Here is a 25954-nt window from a genome sequence, read left to right on the forward strand (position 1 = left end):
TACAAATTTATCCTATAGAAGCATTTTGTATAATATATATAGGACCAATACATAAATGACTACAATTGAAATATCTATGTGGTTCAATCTGCTGTTTCTGTACTTGAGTTAACCATCACTTGGAAAGCCAGTGAAATGCCAGTTACTGAGTCCTGAAGGCCCAGAAACCTGTATTTTAACAGGCATGTTTTGAGACACATTGGCTTCTAATCACCCACAGTAGTAGTGAACATTTTCAGTAGAGGTTAACTTCATTGTCAACCAGCAGTAACTAAAACCAAAGTTAAGGATAGTTGAGAGTGAAATTTTGAAGGTAGACAGCTCTTTAAAACCTGATTGAAGGTAGACAGCAACTGGAAAACCTGATTGAAGAGGGAATTAAGGAGGCTAGTCCCCACCCTGAGGCTTTGGCTTGGTATCTCCCTCTACCTGGAAGGTTCCAGCTCAGCCAAGTATCCTACCTCCTTTAAGCCTATTGCCTAGCCGAGCTATTATGGATGAAATAAGAATTATTGAATAAAATGATCTGTCTGTTTACATAAGTGTGGTAAAAGTTGGCTAGAGTATAACAGAGAAAGGGCAGTCCTGGTTCTTGTTAGGATGCATTAGAGAGCAAGCAATGGGAATGAGATGCTGTTGGGCTCTCTCCCAACTTGGGTTGGTCAGACGCCCCTTGTGCCTTGCTGTTAGGCCCCTCATTTCATAATAACTGATGCTTAACATTTTGGCAAGTTTTAACCACTCTTAAGACCTTTGACCTTCACAGTGTCCCTGTGACAGGTTAAGTGTCAGGGGAGGGATTACAAAATAGGATAAGGAAGGGTGCTTGAGACCAAGAGCAGCCACCAGGAGAGGGTGGGGGCTGGAGGTGGTGACAGAGACTCAAATTAGGCACAGCTGCTGGACATCTCCCCAGGAGGCCAGAGGCATTCCTGAACTCTGAAGCTTGGTGCACTGTTATTAACTGTGATTTCACCATCCTGGTCCTAGCAGTGGGTAGCTTTAAGAAAAATCGTTTCCTCCCTTCTTTCCTTCCTCCCTCTTTTTTGGTGAGGGGAGTGGCAATTGCCCAATTGCAACATAAGAATATGATATGCTCTCTGTGGCGTTTTCACCTAGGCTGTGGGATGGGGGTGGGAGATCACAGTGTCAGGGGAGTATGTGTGGTTTAGATAAAATCCCCACCCAGTGATTCTCATGCCTTATCCTAGAGAATAGATGCTTTAGGAGTTAAAGGATTCAGGCGGAACTGGTGGTAAATTGTGAAAGGTGTGAAAGGTGTGAAAGGTGCTCAGTAAACATTTACTGACTCTTTACTGCCTGGATGCAAAGTACAGGATATAAAAGACTTAGCCAGTACTAACTGACTTTCTTAGAAGTCAGTACATTGTAGACACTCAGTAAGGTTGAGACATGATCAATGGTTGTGATAATCATAATGAATTATCTCTATGTTATTCAGTTTTATCATAAAGCTGATGGGTATAGAACTTTTGACTTATCCTAGAATGATCTTGATCTGTGTCAAAGGCTGACCTGTAAAATAAGAGAATACCTGGATTGCTGGGCAACTTGAAAACCTGATTGAAGAGAGAATTAAGGAGGCTAGTCCCCACCCTGAGGCTTTGGCTCTGATATCTCCCTCTACCTGGAAGGTTCCAGTGTCTTACCTCCTTTAAGCCTTTACTCATATCTCCTTTTCTCTATGAAGTCTGATACTCCTCAAGACTCTCTCATAGCTGGTACTTCCTCATCTTTTTGTGTTACTCTTCTTTTTCTTTTTTCATAACATGTATGTTCTGATTAATTATTAATTAGATAATTTATTTGATTAAATTATATTTTGTCTCTGCAGAAGAGCCAAGTTCTTTGTGGACAGGACTCTTGCTTCTTCACTTATCTCTTCTCTCTAGTCCCTGGAACAGTGCCTGGTACATAGTAGAAGTACAGAAAAGATTTGGTGAATGAATGAATGCTTTCCTGTAGAAAGTTTAATGGCAGTAATAAACAATATTAGTCACTCAATACTAATTCTGGATAAATATTGAATTAAATATTCCTGAATGAAAGTTAAGGTTTTTTTTCTATTAGCCTTCACTGTGGTGATGTCTTTTAAATGAAGTTATTGCATAAAGTGTGGATCCAGAGTTGGAAGACATTGGATTATAATGTCCAAGCTTCTGAGTGGTTTTCTGGGAGAAGTTACGAAACCACTCTGTGCTTTAGTTTCCTCTGTAAACAACGTCATGAATCTGTGCTGTGGATTAAGTGAATTGATGCACTTCAACCCTTAGAACAGGGCGGAGACTTGTAGCAGAAGCTCAATTAATAAATCCAATTTATAAAAAAAAATTATATGATATTTTTATTTTGCAATTACGTGATATACTTATTTTGTAAAAAGAAATGTAAATTTAAATGGTTTAGCCAATTTTAAGGAAGAAAGTCACAGATAAATGAAAACGTGGGCATTTTCCATATTCCTGTTGTTGTTACAATAACACACCTAGAATTTTATTATAATAATAATCTCCAAATGTTGAGTTTATTATGGAACCTCTTATGTTCTAGAGTCAATTTTAAAACAGAGTTTTTAAAACAATTTTAAACAGAGTTTGGGAGTTTCACACAAGCCTTTTATTTCTTTCTTATAGATCCCCATATTAAGGTTTCTGGAAAGAAAGAAGATGTTAAAGAAGCCAAGGAAATGATCATGTCTGTCTTAGACACAAAAGTAAGTGAATGTTAAGGACACTCAGATGTCAGAACCTTGTCTCTACAAGGGCTACTTCATGCCGTTATGAAAGAACCATTTGGAGAAGAAAAACCAGGAGAAAGTAATGGTGGGTTTTAAAATAAGCACATGTGATTCTACAGTGGATGTAAAGTTCTGTTTAATATTTGAATAGGTTCTTTCATGCTGAGTAATTGAACTATACATACACACACACACACCTATATGTACCTACATCTACATACATATATATGTATCGTGTATGTATGTGTATATATGTATACATGTACATATATACCATCTTCAGAAATAGAAATTGGCCCTGATTAATATAGGGTAAGTAATAAGGATTGTAGGAATTAGATTATTTGCTTTTATGATGTCAGTAGAATACCAGAATGATCTTCTATATAGCTCTGTGTTGGGTGTGTGTAATGGCATGAAATTTGTTGCTTGCTTTTGTGTGATCACGTGATGTCTCTCTCTCTCTCTCTCTGTAAGTATATGTATAGAGAGAGAACAGGGAAATTTCAATATGTAAAAATTTATACTCATTTGTGAGAATTTATTTTCTTTAACAAACACATCTAAATCACTTATTGTATACCAGGCACTTCGCTAAGTACTCTACATTTTACACTTATTAATTTGTTTGATCCTCGTAACTGACTCAGCACAAAGGTATTAAGTAATTTGTTCAGGACCCTAGAGCCGGTTAAGTGGAGAGGTGGGATTCAAATCCAGGCTGTCTCATTCTTAACCACTTTGTCTTGCCACCTGGCATTTCATTAGAATGATCTCCCTCTGATCGCTTTCTTGTTTTCATTCTTCCTTTCTGTTCTTTGTTGGTTTTCTTCGTTTTTAAAAAAATTACTCCCCTGATAATTATTAAATAGTTTAGAATTTTCTTCAGGAAAGGGGGATTTTTTTGTGTTTTAAAGGTTAAACTGAAAGAACTAAACTTAAAAATCAAAATATATTTAATGGGCATAAATTTAAAACTTAAGAATTCACAAGGTATAAAAATATTTTTGACATATTTTGATATTTCGATTTTACTTTTTAAAGACTGAATAATTTCAGTAACAGTCTTCTAAATGAGAAGGGATTTTATGCCAGTCTTTATGATTGTACAGCACTAAATTCCTCAAATATAGTCCAATATGACCACAGCATTTTTATTTATTATGTCTTAGAATTTTACATTTTGCTTTAATATAACTAATGTACTTTGAATTTCTTTATTTAAGCCATTTTGTGACCAGTTATCTGCACTTTATGATCTCTTTCTCCCTTCTTTCTACCAGCAAGAGTAATAGATCTACTTTGTAAAGTTCAATATATAGTAATACAGGAGTTGGGAAAGCAGTGATTCTAAAAACTTTCTTATTCACAGTTTTGAGCTTTATTATTTCTAATTTTGTATCATCTTAGTTATGCAGTCCCACTAGCATGCATATCTTCAATCTTGTAATTGTGTTTTCATCTGTTTTTAGTTATTTGAATTAAATGTTTCGTGAATAATGTCTTTAAAGACAAATTGAGTAATTTATTTAACTGTAGCTGACTTTGTTTAAAGACTTCTTTCCAAAAAAATTATCTTGGTAAAGAATAAATTTTTCTATTTCTTCTGACAAATCTTTCTTAAAATGAGAATTTCTTTTTTTATAATCAGAGAAATTAATAGCAGGAGAACACTTATAGATTAAGATGATCTTATTAAGAAATAAGATTTCCCACTGACTTGCTTTTTGTTAATACCATTCCCTTGAGGGAAAGACATTTAGGAGGTCATTCTTTCCTTTTGCATACATCAAGTAATAATACATTATTTTCACATAGAGCAATCGAGTCACACTGAAGATGGATGTTTCACATACAGAACATTCACATGTAATCGGCAAAGGTGGCAACAATATTAAAAAAGTGATGGAAGAAACCGGATGCCATATCCACTTTCCAGATTCCAACAGGAATAACCAAGCAGAAAAAAGCAACCAGGTGGTTTGTCTTTTCACATGAACTTTTATGGGATGAATTACAGCCTTAATTTAATTTTCAGTTTGCCTATCTTTTTTTTCTGAGAGGTGAGACAAAAAAAAAATCACATAGATGACATACAGTGTAGATTGTACAACTTTCTGCAAGGAAATTGAAGGTGCTTTGCTTTTTTGAGGAGATGAGTTGTAGATGGGCCCTAAACTCTTGATCTTGAAATCATTGATAAAAAATAGCGGAAGATGTAATGGCCACAAAACAAAACCTTAAAGAAAGGCTGAGAGAGCATATCGTTTAGGACCTGGAAGCTTGCCTAGTCCAGGAACCTATCCATTGCCTGGTAGAGACCTGGAAGTAAATACCTTTGTGGCACACCAGATCACCTTCTGAGGAGCAGTGCATTAGTGCCTGACTTCTTACATTGCCTTAATTATGTCTCTCTCTAGTTTATACACATTTGTGCTTGTTCTTCTGTTTGGCAGCAAATGGAACTCACCTGTCCTCATGCAAGCGGTTTCAGTACTTGAAGAACAGATAGTATTATTTGTGATATTTGGAAGTATTCTCTCTTCTAAACTAGTTACAATACTAGAAACTGTCAGCCACAAAGATGAATAGTCTTTTCTCTACAGGGACTAATGGTGACAGTGGGATGTGCACATAAGGGACTAGACAGAAAGCTATAGTAAAAAGCAAAGACAATATTCAGAATATTTAAAAACTGGTACGGCATGACCATTGGCCCTAAGAACAGTGTCCTGGAGCCCCTGTACCCCCCACCACAATGCCAAGACTAACACCTTGAGTCAGTGGGTCATGGGAATGCCCAGGAGATTTCAGAAGTAAGCTCGAGGTAGATGTTGGAGCAATGATTGTGTACCATCTGGTATGGAAAATGTTCACTATTTTCAGAACCTAGTGTAGCTCTGTCATTGAATATTGATAAGTATCTGGTATGCAAAGAGCTTAAACAAAACGGAGAAAATGCAGTGAACAAGAGTAATTATAAAGAGGGCAGGATGATCTCCTGGGGGCTGTGGGGCTTTCAGTAAGTCCAGTGGGTGAAACAGATCAGTTGACACAAATTACCTGAGGATCTCGTTAAAATGCAAATTCTGATTAAGCAGGTCTGGATGGGGGCCTGAGATCCTTTATTTTTAACAAGCTTCTGGATAATACCTCTGTATTTGTCCCTGGATGACACTTTTAGTAGCAAGCATATAGATGAACTGGAAAAGAGATGTGAGTTTGATTAAAATAAATCTAACTTTGTATTTTCCTCCTCTTATAGGTATCTATAGCGGGACAACCAGCAGGAGTAGAATCTGCCCGAGTTAGAATTCGGGTAACTATTTATTACTTTAACATTGTAAATTGATGTCAGCAACATTTGCATTATAAGGCACTAAAAATATAATAATTTATCATTTTATAACCGAATCATGTTCAATCAGTAGGAAATAGTGGCAAAAGTTATTTTAGTGTCTATCTTAGCATTCATTATCTAAATATTTATTGTATATGTTCAAAAAGTGAGTTTCTATGTTATTTATAAAATTTTTTCACTGAAAATGTTTCTCAGAGATGTTCTGGATTTTATCTGACTCAGTTTTTCTAGTTTTTATTCAATGATCATAAAGAGGCCTAAGGAAAAATGCCACAGGCAATGTGAGTTAGAAACTCTCAGGTTTCACAAAAGGCTCCCATCATTTAAAAACACTTGTAGGCCAGTTGTGGTGGCTCACACCTGTAATCCCAGCACTTTGGGAGGCCAAGGCAGGAGGATCACTTGAGGCCTGGAGTTCGTGACCAGCCTGGACAACATAGCAAGACCCTGTCTGTCTCTACAAAACATTTTTAAAAATTAGCCAGGTATGGTGGCACATGCCTGTAGTGCCACTAATTCAGGAAGCCAAGGTGAGAGGATCCTTGAGCCCAGGAGGTGGAGGCTGTAGTGAGCTGGGATGATACCACTGCATGCCAGCCTGGGTGACGGAGCAAGACTCTGACTCAAAAAACAGAAAGGAAAAAAAAAAACTTTATATAATGTAGCTAAACTTAATATCTATAAGGGCAGTTTATGCTTTAAAATCTATCTTCAGAAAAGAACCAATGAATGATACACATGTCTGAATGTCTAATGCTTTAACTCTCTGCTTTGGATTCTCATCATTTCATTTTAGGAGCTGCTTCCTTTGGTGCTGATGTTTGAGCTACCAATTGCTGGAATTCTTCAACCGGTTCCTGATCCTAATTCCCCCTCTATTCAGCATATATCACAAACGTACAATATTTCAGTATCATTTAAACAGCGTTCCCGAATGTATGGTGCTACTGTCATAGTACGAGGGTCTCAGAATAACACTAGTGCTGTGAAGGTAAATTATTCAGATAATTCTGCACATCCTATATGTACAAGTTACATGAGTTTCATTTTTAAAGAATATTAGACTAATTTGATTTCCAGAATTTTCCTTCGTTCTACATTTTGGTTTGCAGAATATGCTGTATTTTTCCATAGCTGTTAGAAATGCAATAGAATCTTTCCCCGTATATGAACAGTTAATGTATAGGATTATTTCTTTCCCACCCTTTTCTCTTAGGAAGGAACTGCCATGCTGTTAGAACATCTTGCTGGGAGCTTAGCATCAGCTATTCCTGTGAGCACACAACTAGATATTGCAGCTCAACATCATCTCTTTATGATGGGTCGAAATGGGAGCAACATCAAACATATCATGCAGAGAACAGGTGCTCAGATCCACTTTCCTGATCCCAGTAATCCACAAAAGAAATCTACCGTCTACCTCCAGGGCACCATTGAGTCTGTCTGTCTTGCAAGGCAATATCTCATGGTAAGGTTACTGAAATAAGTGTTACAATTTTTTTAAACCTCTTTGGATTCAGTGCATGTTTTTCCATCCACTGTACTAATGTGATATTTAGGAAAGCACTTCGGAAGCCTCGTCAAATAAGGAAGTTTCTTGCTAAAAGGAAATAAACTGGAAGAGTAATAAGGTTCATAGTGCCTCAACAGGTTTAATTTCATTGCATATGTAATTTTATTTCAGTGTTTTCTTTTTAACTTAGACTAAACACAGAAGAGAATTATAGTGAAATAATTGACTGCATTTTGTGGCAAGGATGGAAGGTGACTGTTTTCATCTGACCTGTAATATTAGTGTGCAGTTTGTATTTGGCAAAAAAAAAAAAAGTCCTCTGTTTAAACAGAAAAGTAAAAATACTATTTAAATTTCACCATCAAAGACAAATTTTGTCAGCCCAAAACATTTGTACATTTCATAAATCTTTGATCCAATTAAAAAATACTATTTAAGTCACAAATTCGAGCGTCACTTATTGAAGGAAGAAAAGCAAAGTTATATATTATAATTCAATACTACTTTACTACTTCTAATTTATAATTGCAATATTTCTATCCTTCCCATATTTGTTTAAAACCCCTCGGCCAGGTGCGGTACCTCATGCCTGTAATCCCAGCACTTTGGGAGGCCAAGGTGGGCAGATCACTTGAGGTCAAAATCAAGACCAGCCTGGCCAACATAGTGAAACCCCATTTCTACTAAAAATATAAAAATTAGCCAATGCGGTGGCAGGTGCCTGTAATCCCAGTTACTCAGGAGGCTGAGGGAGGAGAATTGCTTGAACCCAGAAAGCAGAGGTTGCAGTAAGCCCAGATGGCACCACTGCACTGCATTTCAAAAATGAAATAAATGAAATGGAATGAAATAAACTATCCCAGTGTATGGGTTGATAATGTAGTAACAAAATGGATGGACATGATGCTGGGCTTACAAATATTTGTATTAAAAACACCATTGTATTCTCTCATTCAGTGCTTGACCTTTAGTGGCATTTGAATCAGTAAGCCTCAGGTGTGACATTTACTATTATTAACTTGCAGAGTTTATTTTTGAGAAACTTTCAGAAAATCTAAGTTTTTATTGTTGATTCCATTCCTCTGACAGACAAGAACTTGTTGGAATCAGTAAGATTGTAATCCACGATTTTAAGAAATTTGTCATGATTTTTTTTAGCCGAGCTTATTTTATCAGGTTATTTTTAATATACTGTACTACAAGTCAGATTTATATTTATATCCAAGAATTGTTGTAATCTTCATTTTTTTTCTGCTTTACAAGTTCTTTAGATGTTATTTTTTAGTTTAGTGAAATTTTTCAAATATTCTCTACAGTTATTAATGCACATTTATACTTTGACCATACCTGCCAAAAATAATGACTCATATTATTGCACAACATTGAAATAACTGAAGGAGAAATTAAAAGGCTTTAACCCGTATTTTAAATACCATCACCATTTTGTATAGCACTATTCTTATAAAAATCACTTCCTGGCTGGGCGCGGTGGCTTACACCTGTAATCCCAACACTTTGGGAGGCCGAGGCAGGCGTATCACAAGGTCAGGAGTTCAAGACCAGCCTGGCCAATATGGTGAAACCCCATCTCTACTAAAAATACACAGAAAAGTTAGCCGGGCATAGTGGTGAAGGTCTGTAATCCCAGCTACTCAAGAGGCTGAGACAGGAGAATTGCTCAAACCGCGGAGGTGGAGGTTGCGGTGAGCCGAGATCGCGCCACTGCACTCCAGCCTGGGTGACAGAGCAAGACTCCGTTTAAAAAAAAAAATCAATTTCTTCCACAGGAGAAATGGAGCATAGTATTTTATTTCTTTTTCTTTTTTTAGTTTAGGTGAGGTCTTACTCTGTTGCTCAGGCTGGAGTGTAGTAGTGTGTTCTCAGCTCACTGCAATCTCTGCCTCCTGGGTTGAAGTGATTCTCATGCCTCAGCCTCCCGAGTAGCTGAGATTACAGTCATATGCCACCATGCCTGGCTAATTTTTTTAGTTTTAGTAGAGATGGGGTTTCACTATGTTGGCCAGGCTGATCTTGCACTCTTGGCCTCAAGTGATCCACCCACCTAAGCCTCCCAAAGTGCTGGGATTACAGGCATGAGCCATGGTTCCCGGCTTAGTAATTCATTTTAATCCTAGTGTGCTTAATGGTAACCTCTCCTGATATCCATTTACAAATTCCAGCACCCAGTGGGCTAACACTGGAAATTCTGTGCATCAGAGAAAGTATATTACATTGTTCCTAGACTCAGTAGATCAGAGGCTGTGAGTAGAGCATTAGAGAAAAAAAAAAAATCTAAAAAATGAGGTAGTTAAAAGAAGGGACAGTAGTAACAATTTACTCCAGGAAGGAGGAAAGGTTTAAACTGCATTAGGTTAAGTAGGATTTATATTGGTGAAGAAGCTTTTGATGAGTTAAGGCAGGGGTCCTCAATCCCCGGGACAAGGACCGGACCAATACTGGTCAGTGGTCTGTTAGGAACTAGGCCACACAGCAGGAGGAAAGCAAGGGAAGCTTCATCTGTATTAACAGAGGCTTCCCATCACTCACATGACCGCCTGAGCTCCACCTCCTGTGAGATTAGCAGTGGCATAAGATTCTCATAGGGGCATGAACCCTATTGTGAACCGTGCATGCAAGAGATTTAGGTTGCATGCTCCTTAGGAGAATCTAATGCCTGATGATCTGTCACTGTCTCCCATCACCTCCAGATGGGACCGTCTAGTTGCAGGAAAACAAGCTCAGGGCTCCCACTGATTTTACATTATGGTGAGTTGTATAATTATTTAATTATATATTACAATGTGATAATAATAGTAATAAAGTGCCGAATAAATGTAATGTGCTTGAATCATCTGAAACCATCCCCCTTCCCTCCCCCTCCCCTGGTCCATGAAAAAATTGTCTTCTGTGAAACTGGTCTGTGGTACCAGAAAGGTTGGGGACCCCTGAGTTAAGATACCAAAGTACAAGATCCTCTTAAAGGATCGTTGGGAGGCTGGCCTAACCTGGAGGAAGGGGAAGACATACAGATATAAATCTGTGGTTGAACAAGCAAGTCTGGGCTAAAATGTGGAACTCTTTAAATGCTCGATCATGTTTAGTTTTCATTCAAAATACAATCAAAAGCTGCCACTGGAAGTCATTGAGCAAAGGCAAAGATTAGTACCCTTGATATAGTCGAGAATCTAGTTTCTAGCATAACTTAACAAAACTGAAGTTAGAGAATAAAGGAATTTTCCAAGGTGCACAGTGGATAAAAAAAGTCCGGGGCCAAAAACAGAAACTTAAGACATATAATTTCGTCATCCAAAAATGGTTTTCTCCCCCTCAACGTTAATGCCACACCTGTCCTCTAAGCTATGTGAACTTATATAATTCAGCTTTAATACTTCAGTTTAGTCTTTAAATCTGTAAAATAGTGCATTATTTGCAGGCATGTTAAATTATCAGGTGTTTAAATGATTAAATTTTTACCTCCTACACATTCTATTGTGACATTTTCTAGGGTTGTCTTCCTCTTGTGTTGATGTTTGATATGAAGGAAGAAATTGAAGTAGATCCACAATTCATTGCGCAGTTGATGGAACAGCTTGATGTCTTCATCAGTATTAAACCAAAGCCCAAACAGCCAAGCAAGGTTGGTTCAGAGTCTGAATCCAGAGAATTATGTATCATATCATATGCTGTATAGTTTTATTTTGCATAGAAGTATTTATTTGCATATACATGAAACTGTTACTCTATACAGGTTGAATATCCCCAATCCGGAATGCTCCAAAAGCTGAATCTTTTTTAGCACTGACATGACAGTCAAAGGAAATGCTCATTGGAGCATTTTAGATTTTGGATTTTCATATTAGGGATGCCCAACCAGTGCAGATATTCCCAAATCCCCCAAAACCCCAAATCTAAAACACTTCTGGTCCCAGGCATTTCAGATAAGGGAAACTCAACTTGTATAATATATATGTCATTATATATTTAGTTATCTAATATAAATTTGTAACAGTATTCATTATAGATCATCATTTTCTTTATATATGTGTTGGTTTTTGCAGTCCATTTAGAGTAACCATTATTTTTCCATAGTTAAATGAGAAGGAAAGAACATTTGTTCTTAATTTAGAATCTGGTAACTTGAAGCTTTTCTAAGTTACCCAAGAGTTGATAAGGCTACTTACATGTTTTGTGTGTGTGTGTGTGTGTGTGTGTGTGTGTGTGTGTGTGTGTGTACATGCCCAGTGTAATTCAGAAATTGTTTAGACTACTTACTATATGCCATCTCCTGCGCAAGCTGGAGAGTTAAAGAAGAGGTGCCTGTGCTTTTTTGTAAATACTTTAAGGACTGAACTGTCTCAAGTTCAGCGTTCTTGGAATCTCTCCTCAGAGTGTTGTAAAATTTCAGTAACTACATGTAGAGTAAAAATTTAATGGAATAAATGTTTTTTTTTTTTTTCTGAGACAGGGTCTCACTTTATCACCAAGGCTGGAGTACAGTGGTGTGATCGTGGCTTACTGCAGCCTCGACTTCCTGAGCTCAGGTGGTTCTCCCACCTCAGCCTCCCGAGTAGCTGGGACCACAGGCATGTGCCACCACACCTGGCTAATGTTTTGTACTTTTTGTAGAAATGGGGTTTGGCCATGTTGCCCAGGCTGGTCTTGAACTCCTGCGCTCAAGCAATCCACCCACCACAGCCTCCCAAAGTGCTGGGATTACAGGTGTGAGTCACTGTCTCCGGCTCAGAATAAATCTTTTATTAAGTGCTAGTAAGAATGAGGAAAGAGGAATGTTTCTACATTAGTATTGTTGTTTAAACTAGCACAGCCACTTTGAAGAGCGATTTCTGATCATCGCATTATTCTAAGATATTGATTACCCTACCTGCAGTAGTTCTACTTCTGATTATACACTCTGAAAACACCTTTGCACCAAGAGACAACACGAGAATGGTGTTGAGTAAAAAAAGTATATTGCATCGTAGTATGTAGTCAATGGCAGCATTTTTGTGTATATATATGTCTGTACATTTTTAAGTATAAAGCATTGTTTAGAAGGATGCACACAAAAATCATGATGAGTTGCCTTTGGGGCAATAGAAAGGAAAATGGAACAAAGTAAACAAGGGAGATGTTCTATTTATTTAACAAAAATCCGAAATAAGAAAATAACACCATTTTTAAATTTTGAAACTATAAATCTTATATGCATAGAATGGTGTATATATAATATGTATTTTATATAATTTGGTATATGTAAATAATGTGGTAATCGCTGTCCAACTGAAGAAAAATGATCTTGCCTTCTCCCAAAGAAAACTTTAAAGGAAAAGATAGCATTGATTCTAAGTGAACTTGATATAATTAGTTTAAAGTTAGGGAACAGGACATTAATTTTATGTATCGTGAAGCTTCATGTGTGACTAATTTGAGTTGACCAGAGTCACTGTAGATACCAGGACTAAAAGATAAAGACAGGAGAGACATTAGAGGGCTTGTGCATATTAAGATGGACAGTCAGAAGAATTCCAGGAGTTCAGTAAGAAATGAGCAGAAGTCAGGGAAAAATAGATTGTAAATGAGAACTCCAGAGCCTTGCAGCATCCCAGGGCCATTTAATTATGCCCAGCTGGCCCACATTCTAACTACTGCTTTAACTGCTTTCTCAGCCACAATTTTTTTTTTTTTTGGTCCATTGAGGGCTTTCCCCTTTGAGTTCACATTTCAAATTTTCTTGATGAGTCCATTGTGAAAGAAAAATGATTTATTATTTAGAATTTTTTTTACCATAAGCTTTGCCATAGATATGTCACCAATGAGGGATAGTCATACCTCAAGGTCTATTAGCTAACTAGTAAACCATAAATGTCAAACATAAGTGATGATGATGATGCAGTTTATATGTGGTCACAAGTTTGATTTGGTATGTAATGACAAGATGCAAGGGGGAAGCTTTAGTGTAAAGATGAGGGGCTGTAAAAAGGGAACCCAGGTTCCCATCCTCTTGCTGTCTCTTCACAGCTGTGCCTTGACCTGGGCTAAGTCCCTTAACTTCACTGAATATGAGTAATGATTCCCACCCTATAAGGTTTTGCTGAGAATAGGAACATATATGCAGCTACTATCACAGCTCCTGGAACCCAGAACATGCCCAATAAATGGTAACCAATAATTTAGGGTTTTGCCAGAAGGAGTAATCTTAAGCACGAAGTGGTTAGAATTTGCAGATGATTTAAAAGCAGCATTGATATGTCCCCTGAGTGGAATTCTTATTAGCGTATTCATTTTCCACCTCCCTCCCCTCCCCCATTCATTGTAGACTACTTGCATGTCACCTTTTTTCCCCCATTATGTGTTTTCATAGTCTGTGATTGTGAAAAGTGTTGAGCGAAATGCCTTAAATATGTATGAAGCAAGGAAATGTCTCCTCGGACTTGAAAGCAGTGGGGTTACCATAGCAACCAGTCCATCCCCAGCATCCTGCCCTGCCGGCCTGGCATGTCCCAGCCTGGATATCTTAGCTTCAGCAGGCCTTGGACTCACTGGACTAGGTATACAATTTATTATTACAGCGCGTCTCAGTCACTGGGGAAATGCTTGTCTGGTTCCCTTTCTTTCTACCATTCGGGTCTACATTTAAAGGCTATTTTTTTTTCCTTTGGGCTCTAAGATCAGATGAAAAGCCATACAACCTGAATCAATCCATTTTGGGGTTTCTTAGTCTCTGTGGATTTGTTACCCAGATTCTTCCCATGTTTGCATAAATAATCAAGGTCTGACTATTTTATTTTCGGTGGCTGTGTTTGTTCTAAATTAAGAATGCCATTGAGATTGAAGTAAGCATGCTGACTGTAATTTATGTTTGTTCTCTCCTGCATTTGCAATATTGTCTTCAGTCCCTAGAGATAAAGATTATCCAGTTTGCTTTTTAAAAAGTAATTGCAAATCTGTATGAGGGGTGGGGAGGGGGGTGAAAATAAGCAGAACCCGCATCTCCAGTGGTTAGGCCTGCCTTGCCTAGATACAAAGGAAATCTAGTCAGAGGCCAGACCTGTATTTCTGTCTAACGTGAGGAATAGAAAATAGAAGAATGAACAAACGTCATCATCTCAGAGCTTCAGTCGAGAAAGTAGAATGAGCTGTTTAATAGTCATGGTGATATTTATGTCCTCATCTATGGATTGCTATTTTATAGGCTGAAGTTAATTGCTGTATTACAGTTTTGCTAGATTTATTTCTTTCCTGCACATTTCTCAGTTGCATTTATTTTCCTTAATCAGTACTCCTAGAAAATCATCCTGGGTCATTCAGTGTTGATTTGAGACAAAAAAGAATACTCTCAGCAGTCTTTAAAATTTTTTTTCCAATAGCTATTCTTGCAGTCTTTAAAATTTTTTTTCCAATAGCTATTCTTGCTTTTAACTTTTAAGAAGTTTAATGCTCTTATATGATTGATTTTCCAAGTAGCCCTGCCTAGACATCATTAAAGAAAGATTTTTTTTGTATCTTGGCCCCTAATCTACCAAAGTTGTTCCTTCCACTGGGACCTGAACAGAGTCATAACAACATAGCAATGACTGTGAGTCAGGAAATGCCAATTAGGTAACTTAGCAGGAACCTAGTTCATCCTGCACTACAGAGAAAACAAGTGAGCAAAGATTCACTAACTGAATTTTTAAAATGTTTTCATTGCTATACCTATCCTGTTATATACTTTATGCTTTATATGTATTCCTGGAAACTTGTATACAAATCCACATTTCATTCTAGAACATATTTTAAATGCCCAAAGGAAAATTTCATTATTTAAATCAAGCATTGACTCCTTAGAACAACAACAACAACAACCAAAAAAAAACAGTATTTTTTTCTGAGGAAATTTTCATCATTGAGATGGAGCCCAGGGAAGTCATGTATATGTTTTGAGATACATTTAGGAACTGTTCTGGTAGCCTACCCTATCTGCAGCGGGGACAAATAGATCTATCCTACCACAGGAAAGCATTCCCTAGTCGCTGCTACATGTGAGTAGTTTGAAAAGGGTTTGTTTGTAAGCAGATGACAAATGAGTTATGCAGAAGAATAAAAATGAGTTTCCACTTGAGCAGAATTTTGTTCATCCTGGGTAGCTGACATGAATGCAAGCACCTGGTGATGTTCAATGACCCTAACTGCCATCCTGGTCTGGGCACACCTATCTTCCATTTTCTGATAGCAACTCTTTGTGGATAAGCTGCTTCCTCTGTTGGAGCTGTATGATGCAAAACTCATGTGAGTATTTGAAAGAAAATCTGTCATCCATATTTTATATTTAGAAAATATCAGATTATATCATTGTGCATTCCCAATGGCAATATTGGTGCCATCTCTATTTTAAAATCTTAAATTTATGTGAATTGACTTTATATATTCATTTATTACAGGTCTTTTGGGACCCACCACCTTATCTCTGAACACTTCAACAACCCCAAACTCACTCTTGAATGCTCTTAATAGCTCAGTCAGTCCTTTGCAAAGTCCAAGTTCTGGTACACCCAGCCCCACATTATGGGCACCCCCACTTGCTAATACTTCAAGTGCCACAGGTCAGTATCATTTAAGTATATTCCAAGTTGTGTATTCTTAGGTGTTACCAGTTTTTTAAATAAAATTTACGAAGGGCTCAGTTTTCTTAAGGCAAAATTAGGGTTCAAAGCATACTCCATTGAAACAGAAATTCCCTGATATGTAAATTAGTTAAAATGAAGAACAGCAAAGCAGTTTGAGTTTTTCATACAACTGAAATACCATCTTCAAATGTGATAAACAGACCTGGTAGTTAGGTTCTAGTTGGAGTAACTTGCTGGTAGTCATTTACATCTGTACAATGAGAGGGTTGGATTAAATATTCTCTATGATATTGTCCGATTTTAACACTCTTTTGTGTTTTTATAGTAAATAGTACCTCTGTTTACAGAGGTGTCAAAATTGAATTCTTTTCTGAACTTGCAGCAACAAAAATGATATTTTTATTGTTAATAAAAATAATAGTTGAATCTGAGTTTCTTCCTAATATCTGTCATCATAAAATGTTGTTGTAGGTTTTTCTGCTATACCACACCTTATGATTCCATCTACTGCCCAAGCCACATTAACTAATATTTTGTTGTCTGGAGTGCCCACCTATGGGCACACAGCTCCATCTCCCCCTCCTGGCTTGACTCCTGTTGATGTCCATATCAACAGTATGCAGACCGAAGGCAAAAAAATCTCTGCTGCTTTAAATGGACATGCACAGGTAATGGCCTTCTGCCAGAATGTGTGTGTGATCTGTACTGTTTGTAAGAGACAAACCCCTGGTAAAGTTAAAACATGCTAGAATGTGTGTGTGTGATCTCTGCTGTTTGTAAGAGATAAACCCCTGGTAAAGTTAAAACATGTTTAAACTTTCACCTAAAATGAATTTTATTTATTTTTTTCAACTTTTATTTTAGGTTTAGGGGGCACATATGCAGGTTTGTTACATGGGGAAATTGCATATTTAACCAATCTTGAGTTAATTTTTATATATGGTGAAAGGTAGGGGTCTGGTTTCATTCTTCTGTATATGGCTAGCCAGTTTTCCCAGCGCCAGTTATTGAACATGGATTCCTTTCCGTATTGCTTGTTATTGTCGACTCTATTGAAGATCAGATGGTTGTAGGTGTGCAGCTTTATTTCTGGATTCTCTATTCCGTTCCCTTGGTCTATATTTCTATTTTTTTTTTATGCCAGTACCATGCTGTTTGGTTTCTGTAGCCTCGTAGTATAGTTTGAAGTCAGGTAGTATGATGCCTCTAGCTTTATTCTTTTTGCTTAAGATTGCTTTGGCTATTTGGGCTCTTGTTTAGTTCCATATGAGTTTTAGAATAGTTTTTTCTATTTCTGGGAAAAATTATGTTTGTAGTGTGATAGGAATAGCATTGAATCTGTATATTACTTTGGGCAGTATGGCCAGTTTAATGATATTGATTCTCCTGATCCCTGAGAATGGGATGTTTTTCCATTTGTTTGTATCACCTACAATTTCTTTCAGCAGTGTTTTGTAGTTCTCCTTGTAGATATATTTCATCTCCTTAGTTAGAAGTATTCCAGGGTGGTTTTCTTTTTCGTGGCTGTTATAAATGGGATTGTGTTCTTGATTTGACTCTCTGTAAAATTGTGACCATATTTATACATTATTTTCTATTATTATTTTAGTCTCCAGATATAAAATATGGTGCAATATCCACTTCATCACTTGGAGAAAAAGTGCTGAGTGCAAATCACGGGGATCCGTCCATCCAGACAAGTGGGTCTGAGCAGACATCTCCCAAATCAAGCCCCACTGAAGGTCGGGAACTGTACCCTTCTGAAATTCATTTTGGTTGTTATTTGGAAAAAGGAGGTTGTAGAGAGTCTATGCAGTGATTTTTGAGTTGGTTTTGCTAAACAGCTATCATTCATCCTACCTCAATTATGTGGAAAGACAACATCCTGAATAAAATTTCAAAGAGCATGGTGAAAGATTAACTGAAAAGCACTTTCCACAGAAATAATCATTTCCCCATTACATTGTAAGTTCCTGAATTAAAGTGAAGGTAATTGTGCAGCAGAAAAGCATCAACTTACTAAATGTTATATATATAGTTCCCCCAAGTAGAGTATCTTTTTATAACCTTTTTACCCACCCCCTGCCCCACCAAATCTTTAAAATATATGCGGGTCTTCTCTTCAAATTGAGTTTTTGTGACAACCTGAACTTGTTAAGGTGTTTCTTTGCAGATGGAAGAGGTCTCTGTCAGGTTAATCATGTCTCCATAGAGTAGGGTTCTGATTTGTTTCCATTGCAGATAATTGTCAACTGGAAGGTGATGTTGTTTAGGTGTTTCACTTTTTTTTCCTTTTCCTCTGCAGGTTGTAATGATGCTTTTGTTGAAGTAGGCATGCCTCGAAGTCCTTCCCATTCTGGGAATGCTGGTGACTTGAAACAGATGATGTGTCCCTCCAAGGTTTCCTGTGCCAAAAGGCAGACAGTGGAACTATTGCAAGGCACGAAAAACTCACACTTACAGTATGTATTTTAATCTTTAAAGAGCCCTTGATATTTTGAAATGATATATATTTGTTCTCAACTCTATAGTTAGTACTCTTTGATTCAAGTCATGTTTGATCTCATCCATGGGTGTTTTCATTTTAACTTTTTTAAAAAAAATATTAAGGAATAATATCTGTTAATTTTCACCCTTCTCTGTCTTCTCTATAGTCCCTTCCCCATTTAATGAATTGATTTATATCTGTGTCCTCTAAACCGTCTGTATTACTCTGAAACTGTAGCATTCTCTCTGCTCTTCAGTAATCAGCAGGGCCATTTTTATTCTCTGATTTTTGCTGTTAGAAATTTTCCCACTGTGAATTCTCCTTCATTTGGCTTTGAATTTCTTTCTTACTGTGGCTCTCTTTTTTCCCAAGGTAGTTAATTGCAAACTTTTAAATAAATGCTTGACATTATCATGACTTTGTTTATTCCAAATCACTTTGGTTATAAATACATAAGTTGTATTAAATATTAAATATAACTCTTCCTTACCATAGCACAGTTAAAGTATGTCATCCTTACTCTTTTTTTTTTTCCTCCATGTATTTTGGACAGTCTCTACAATGTAAGGTTTTGTTCCCACCTATTCCGTCCACCTGATTTCCTCTGCTGTCTTATTAGTTCCTGGTATACCCTTCTAGAGTGTCTTTATGCAAAGATTAGCGTACATGGTTTTATTTCCTCCCATTCTTATTAAAATCCATTTTCCTTTATAAACTCTTTGGTCAATCATTATTACCCACCGTTGTCCAGTTCTCCTTTATCTGTGTTTTTCTTTACATGGAGCTAATACCCAAAATTAATGTTCTCATTATAGGCTAGAGAAACAGTTTTACTTCCTTGAAACTATTGAAGCATTTAAAATAGATACGTATTCTTGTCATCACTGAGTATGTCCTGAACCTTCTTATCATCATCTTTTGGCTTAAGCTGCAGCCTCCAGAAAGGTCTCCCTGCCTCCAGTCTTTTATTAGCTTGATCTATCCTTTATTTTGCTTCAGCAATTTACTTTCGAAAACAGGTCTAATCTTGTCACACTCTGGCTTCAAATCACCAATGGTCTGTGTTGCCTGCTTCCTTTCCTTTACTTATGCTCTTCCCTCTGAGTTGCTGTTCTCCTGACCTTTGGCACCAGACAACTTGCAGATGCTCTTAAGTTCCCAGGTCAAATGTCCTTTGTGTAGCCTCTGTCAACTTTTGTCAAGCAAAGTTCATTGTCCCTCTTTTTGTATTCCCCAAGTACTTTTCTAAATTCCTCTAAATTCCCTTGGCACAGCAGCTGAGTAGTTGAACAAATAAAATCATGAATGAATAAACAAAACAGTACTTGATTGATATTGCAATCCCTATTTTGAGCCTAAGGTGCAGTTAGATTTGAACTTGTGGTGCATGCATTCTGTACATATCATGTGTTGTAATTCACATATTTGCTGCTCTAAGAAGCACTTTTACGCTCTGCCTGTCCCCCTCAACAGACTTTGAAGAATATTTCTTATTTATCTGCTACATTTTATTTGTTACCATCATATACATATTTCATACACACGAATTGGATCATCTACATCCCTTCAAATTGACTGGATCTCTGTTTGGACTTTGCATGGATGAATCATTGATATCTCCTTGATGTATAAAAATTAGAAATCTCATCTGTACATCTATTCCACCTATATCATATGCAGTATACCATATATACTATATATACTGTGTTTGAATGTGCATCATGAAATAGTTTCAAGCTTTAGCCCTACAGTCAGAGTGCCCAATTTCAAATTCCATCTCTACCATTCACATTAGAGGTATGACCTTGGACAATATACTTCCTTCATCCACAAAGTGGGGATAACAGTAGTACCTGTGTCATAGCATTGTTGTGAGGATTAAATGAGAGACTACGTGTAAATAGCTGATGATGATAAACATGCATAGTAAATGTGGCATGTAGGAAACATTCAGTACATTTGTATATATAGTGGAGTGTTAAATTCCACACTCTTATTTCACAGCAGCACTGACAGGTTGCTCTCAGACCCTGAACTGAGTGCTACCGAAAGCCCTTTGGCTGACAAGAAGGCTCCAGGGAGTGAGCGCGCTGCAGAGAGGGCAGCAGCTGCCCAGCAAAACTCCGAAAGGGCCCACCTTGCTCCACGGTCATCATATGTCAACATGCAGGTAATGGTAATAAAATAGGAAAGCCACTCAAATGTCATATGTTTGGGTTCTGGTATGGAGAATTCAGTGAGTGTTCAGCAGTAGTGCAGAAATTAGGTTTTCCTTCTGTGCTACATTCAAAATGAAATTTAAATATATATGTAGCAGTTAGTTTGCTATAAACATTAAAAATGAAAAGCAGTATTTACCTTAAGTGAGAATTCTTTAAAATATATTAAAAATGGTGCAGAATGGTCTGTGTCACTGTCTTATGCAAATAACATTATTCATGTGTTACTTAAAAAATTTTCAGATGAGTTTGCGGGACTGCATTTCTAAGTATTCTTGCTTCATGACATAGTCTTGGATAAATAGATATACTATTTTCTATGTAATGAAGATGATGAATGTGTTTGGTGCCATTTAAAGATAGTTATGAGAATAACGAATGTGGAGTGTTCTTTGAAACTAGATGATGAATATTATTGATGATTGTGTTGGTTCACAGATTTTTTATGATTATAAAAACAACTTCCTTTAAATAATTTTTATGATTAAACAACTTCCTCAATAGGAACTTTCTGTGTTTCCATTTTCAAACTATTAGTCTAATTACTCAGAATAGACTATTGACCATGAAAATGCAGAAATTATAGATGACAATATGAAAGATAAGGATTTGTGCTTTGTGCTTTTAGAGATGCCTACAAGCATTTGATGTCAGACCAGAATTGCTGAGTAGACTTACCTGTTTTATCTTTCACCACCAAAAAAGAGGAAGAACGTTCCACAAAATCCTAGAAACAGAAAAGCTGTCATAGATGTGTCAAAGAAATTAATTCATGGAGCTAAACTATATTACTTTAATTCCAGTGCAATCTGCAGTTTAGTCCTCCTTCTCTATTTTTTTAATCCTTTGCATTGGAACATTTTCCTAAGTTTTTCGATGAATTTTTTTTTAAATAAAAGCTATGGCCTTTATAATGTGTCAGTGTTTAAAAAAGACATTTAAGGCCGGGCACAGTGGCTCACACCTATATTCTCAGCACTTTCAGAGGCCGAGGCAGGTGGATTGCTTGAGTCCTGGAGTTTGAGACCAGCCTGGACAACGTGGCAAAACCCCATCTCTACAGAATAATTCTAAAAAATTAGCAGGGCGTGGTGGCATGCACCTGTAGTCCCAGCTACTTGGAGGCCGAGGTGGGAGGATCACCTGAGCCTGGGAGGCAGAGGTTGCTGTGAGCCAAGATTGCACCACTGCACTCTAGCCTGGGAGAGAGAGCGAGACCCTGTCTCAAAAATTAAAAATAAATAAAATAAAAAAGACATTTATTACATTTTCTCTGGTGGATGTATTTTCAGTTAATATGAATTACAATTTATTTAACAAATATCAAATCCCCTTTATAATCTTTTGATGGTTTTTGTCTTGTGGTTCTTGTCACCTTTTCCATCAGATTTATACCTGCAGTGAACCAGTTTCTTGTTTCTTTCTTTTAGGATGGATGAGCATGTTCTTAATGTTTGAGTTTCAGCCTAACTCGATGTATTTATGTTGTTAGTGAACAGTTGACTCTTAATAAATCACTAAGAAATCAATGATAATATTCACTGAGCATTGACAGGGAGAAAGATTGAAAACTTGGCCTGATTTCCTTGGCTGAAAATGATCTGTATCTCCTGATTGCTCTTGGAGTGCTATATCCCCAGCTCTCTTTTTATGCTTATCTCAGTTTCTAATTTATTTTATAGTTATTTCTTTTTCCCAACCCTCCTAAGACTGCAAGTCAGCCAGGCATGGTGGCTCACACCTGTAATCCCAGAACTTTGGGAAGCCAGGGTGGGCAGATCACCTGAGGTCAGGAGTTCGAGACCAGCCTGGCCAACATGGCGAAACCCTGTCACTACTAAAAATACAAAAATTAGCCCAGCTTGGTGGTGGGCGCCTGTAGTCTCAGCTACTTGGGAGGCCGAGATAGAAGAATCACTTGAACCCAAGAGGTGGAGGTTGCAGTGACCTGAGATTGCACCACTGCACTCCAGCCTGGGCAACAGAGCGAGACTCTGTCTAAAAAACAAACAAACAAACAAACAAAAAAACTGCAAGTCATCGAGGCTGTAGCTTATTTTTGATTAGTTGTTGTATTCTTCCACAAAGCTGAGCATAGTCTCTTTAACCAGTAGGCCCTCAATGAATATTTGTTGAACAAGTAAATTTAGGTTCTCCGTATACCTTGCCTTTAGGCATTAATAATTAAAAATTGATTTTAACTCCCAATGCCATTTTAGTCCTAGGATTTAAAAACTTCATCAAAAATATTATCTAAAAATCTGGCTTTCCTGACACATGGCTATGTTTTTAGTTATCACATGTCCTTGTTTGTCTGGGACAGCCTCTATTTACTTTTATTATCTTGGCCTAATTGTTATTCACAGCACATTTCACCTTCAGAAATGTCCTGTTTCAGACCACAGATTATATAGGTACCTTATATATGATGGTATAGTCTTTCTGGTTAAAGAGCTCTTGCCAATTGGCCCTTGGTCCTTGTGGTAGGCCTTTGAGACATGCTTAGATCAAGTCTTAGCTATTTCCTAAATTGGGGAGTTGATAACACTCAGAAAAGATTTGAAATGTAGCTGTATCTGCACTACTTTCTTCAAAATGATCTATCTTAGTCCTCACATACACTTGACTACATCGTAGTTACTCATTCAGTTTTAATGGAATGAATCAATGGTGCTATCCTAGCCCTGTGCAATAAACAGTAACTAGGTTTAATTTTATGGCATTGCTTAATGTCATTATAAATTAAAGTTAGACATCTGCCATTTATCTCACATCTCACTTCAAAAGCAAAGACTATGCCAGTTAGGTTAAATAATTTCTTAAGGTATCTTGACATCATACCACTTCAGGCCACGCTTACCTAAATGAAGAGGGGATTTTTGAGACCCTAAGGGGGCCAATAGATACATGACAGCATTTTGGAAATGTATACTTTCAAAACCCACATTATTATTATTAGGCTGTTCACTATATTCTAGCAGACATTGGCTCTGGTGTGCTAGGTATTTATGGTAAATAAGATTTTTTTTTCTTTTTTTAAGGAAAAATTCTAACTCTTAAAGTCAACCTTAAAGTCAGAAGTGGTGATTTATTATTACTAATTAATTAGTGTTGGAAACATGTTTAAACTTACAGACATACCTTGGATTTCTGTGGCATTATTGTGCAAAGCTTGGTGTATGTCTCAGGCAGATTCATGGAACACAGTCAAAACCTTTGTTCTCTAACCATGGAGTGTTGGCATGACATTTGGAGAGACTGTCAATAAAGGTATTTTCTGTTTCATTTTCAGGCATTTGACTATGAACAGAAGAAGCTATTAGCCACCAAAGGTATGTAATACACTAATAACTTACACTTGACTATATTTTAGTACACTCATAAATGTTTTTTGAGTACTCATGGTGAATCGAGAACTTGAAAACTCAGAAAAAGAAACCTAGAATATTTGGGTTCAAGTTGCATACATTCTGTTGAATATATTTTGTTGAATGGTTTAGCATTAGACCAATTAAGAAATCATTTAGCATTTTTTCATTTATCATTACTTGGATAAAATATTTCATTAAGATATTTTTAGACATTTTGTGTTAAGAAATAACATTCAGTGATAATTTCTTCACATATATCAAAGAAACGACACTTATCATCAGTATTTTATTGAAGAAATGCATTAAACATACCAAGCATTGGTTTTATTTTGTTTCCAAAGCTATGTTAAAGAAACCAGTGGTGACGGAGGTCAGAACGCCCACAAATACCTGGAGTGGCCTGGGTTTTTCTAAATCCATGCCAGCTGAAACTATCAAGGAGTTGAGAAGGGCCAATCATGTGTCCTATAAGCCCACAATGACAACCACTTATGAGGTTTGTAGAGTCATGTCCTACTCATTCTTCCTGTCTGTTCTTTCAGCAAAAGAGGACAGTCCTTCCCCCACCCTCATTCTTTATGTACCTAAGGGAAAATGATTAGTGGTGACTTGTTTTTATTTCTATTCTTGTAAACACACTGTTATAAAACTGATGCACTCTTGTGTATTATGATCTTTTATCTGTATTCTCTCAAAGTTGTTGGTCAGCTCTTAAAGAGATGTAAATTTGGATGTGAGTTTTTGTTGAGTGTGGGATGTGTCATAAATGATAAGCGTAGGGCTGAGATTAAGCAAAAGGGAGATGTAATATTTCATAAAAATGTCTAAAGAGTCCTATTATCCAAGGGTTTCACTAGCAAGGTCACGATGGGGGAAAAGGCAAATATTCAACAAAAATAGGTTTTCAGATATGAGTTAAAAATTCAGTGTGCTCAGATGTGCCAAGAACACAGCAAGAAGTATCTGAAACAAGTGCTCCAAAATTTTTATGTTTCCCAGATGTTGGCTGCCCTGCTCAGGGTGAGACTGGGAAGCTGGCATTCCTACCATATGGAAGGGATGGAGAGTTCCATACTCCACAGCCAGGCTACACGCGATTCACCAAGCAGGCCTTTTCCATTTCAAAGTATCAGATTTTGGCTCTAAGCCTTTGGGAGTCGGGGTGGGTCTAGAGAGAGCGTGCACACATACACAATGCTGGGAGACTGTACACACCCAAACATGGATGAAAATGATTAATCCAGGAGTCACAGTGTTCAACCAGAGAGAGCACTGTAGGCCAAAAAACAAACACTGGTTAAGGGTTTCATAATTGTTAGTCTAATAACTAGCATTTGTAGATTGACCTTTTCTCCACCCATTTGCTTTGTAATAAATTAGGCTATTGATGAAACACAAAAGCAAACATGCTGCTTTTTTTTTTTTTGTCTCTTTTGAGTAAGTGAAAAAGAAAATACTATTGAAATACTAAAAGAGTCTCCTGTGAATTTCATTTTGGGAGTTATAGTAGCAACATGGCAGGCTGTGTTTTAAAGATTGAAGTTACCTTCAGCAGCAGAATGTAGGAACCATTATGAAAAATGTTGAGGCTCTAGGAGGTACACTCTTCTTTCTTCCATTATAACACAGAGAGAAAAT

The 25954-nt window shown here is 37.1% G+C and overlaps 1 protein-coding gene across 13 annotated transcripts in view, besides 1 other annotated feature; it reads left to right on the plus strand.

The window, feature by feature from the left end:
• The window catches only part of BICC1 (BicC family RNA binding protein 1), a 319216-nt gene that overhangs the window by 270127 nt on the left and 23135 nt on the right, over positions 1 to 25954 (plus strand). For 12 of the 13 annotated variants that reach the window (XM_047425780.1, XM_047425781.1, XM_047425778.1 and 9 more), the window contains 14 exons: positions 2655 to 2734; positions 4577 to 4735; positions 6024 to 6077; positions 6916 to 7110; positions 7336 to 7587; positions 11138 to 11269; positions 13994 to 14180; positions 16053 to 16214; positions 16710 to 16906; positions 17848 to 17980; positions 18544 to 18700; positions 20731 to 20896; positions 24238 to 24277; positions 24658 to 24812. In XM_047425780.1, the coding sequence (XP_047281736.1) occupies positions 2655 to 2734; positions 4577 to 4735; positions 6024 to 6077; positions 6916 to 7110; positions 7336 to 7587; positions 11138 to 11269; positions 13994 to 14180; positions 16053 to 16214; positions 16710 to 16906; positions 17848 to 17980; positions 18544 to 18700; positions 20731 to 20896; positions 24238 to 24277; positions 24658 to 24812 (2069 nt within the window). Of the gene's footprint in view, positions 1 to 2652; positions 2844 to 4576; positions 4736 to 6023; positions 6078 to 6915; positions 7111 to 7335; positions 7588 to 11137; positions 11270 to 13993; positions 14181 to 16052; positions 16215 to 16709; positions 16907 to 17847; positions 17981 to 18543; positions 18701 to 20730; positions 20897 to 24237; positions 24278 to 24657; positions 24813 to 25954 lie in introns of those variants that run through there. The other variant, XM_011540191.3, reaches the window with a different exon arrangement.
• Positions 24536 to 25735: an enhancer, noted in NCBI's record as "MED14-independent group 3 enhancer chr10:60566642-60567841 (GRCh37/hg19 assembly coordinates)". NCBI's record gives its function as "activates an origin of replication core promoter dependent on BRD2, BRD4, P300/CBP and CDK7 cofactors, and independent of MED14, by STARR-seq in HCT116 cells {active_cell/tissue: HCT116}" and the evidence as "EXISTENCE:reporter gene assay evidence [ECO:0000049][PMID:35650434]".

The sequence above is a fragment of the Homo sapiens genome, chromosome 10, assembly GCF_000001405.40.
Source record: "Homo sapiens chromosome 10, GRCh38.p14 Primary Assembly".
NCBI lineage: Eukaryota > Metazoa > Chordata > Mammalia > Primates > Hominidae > Homo > Homo sapiens.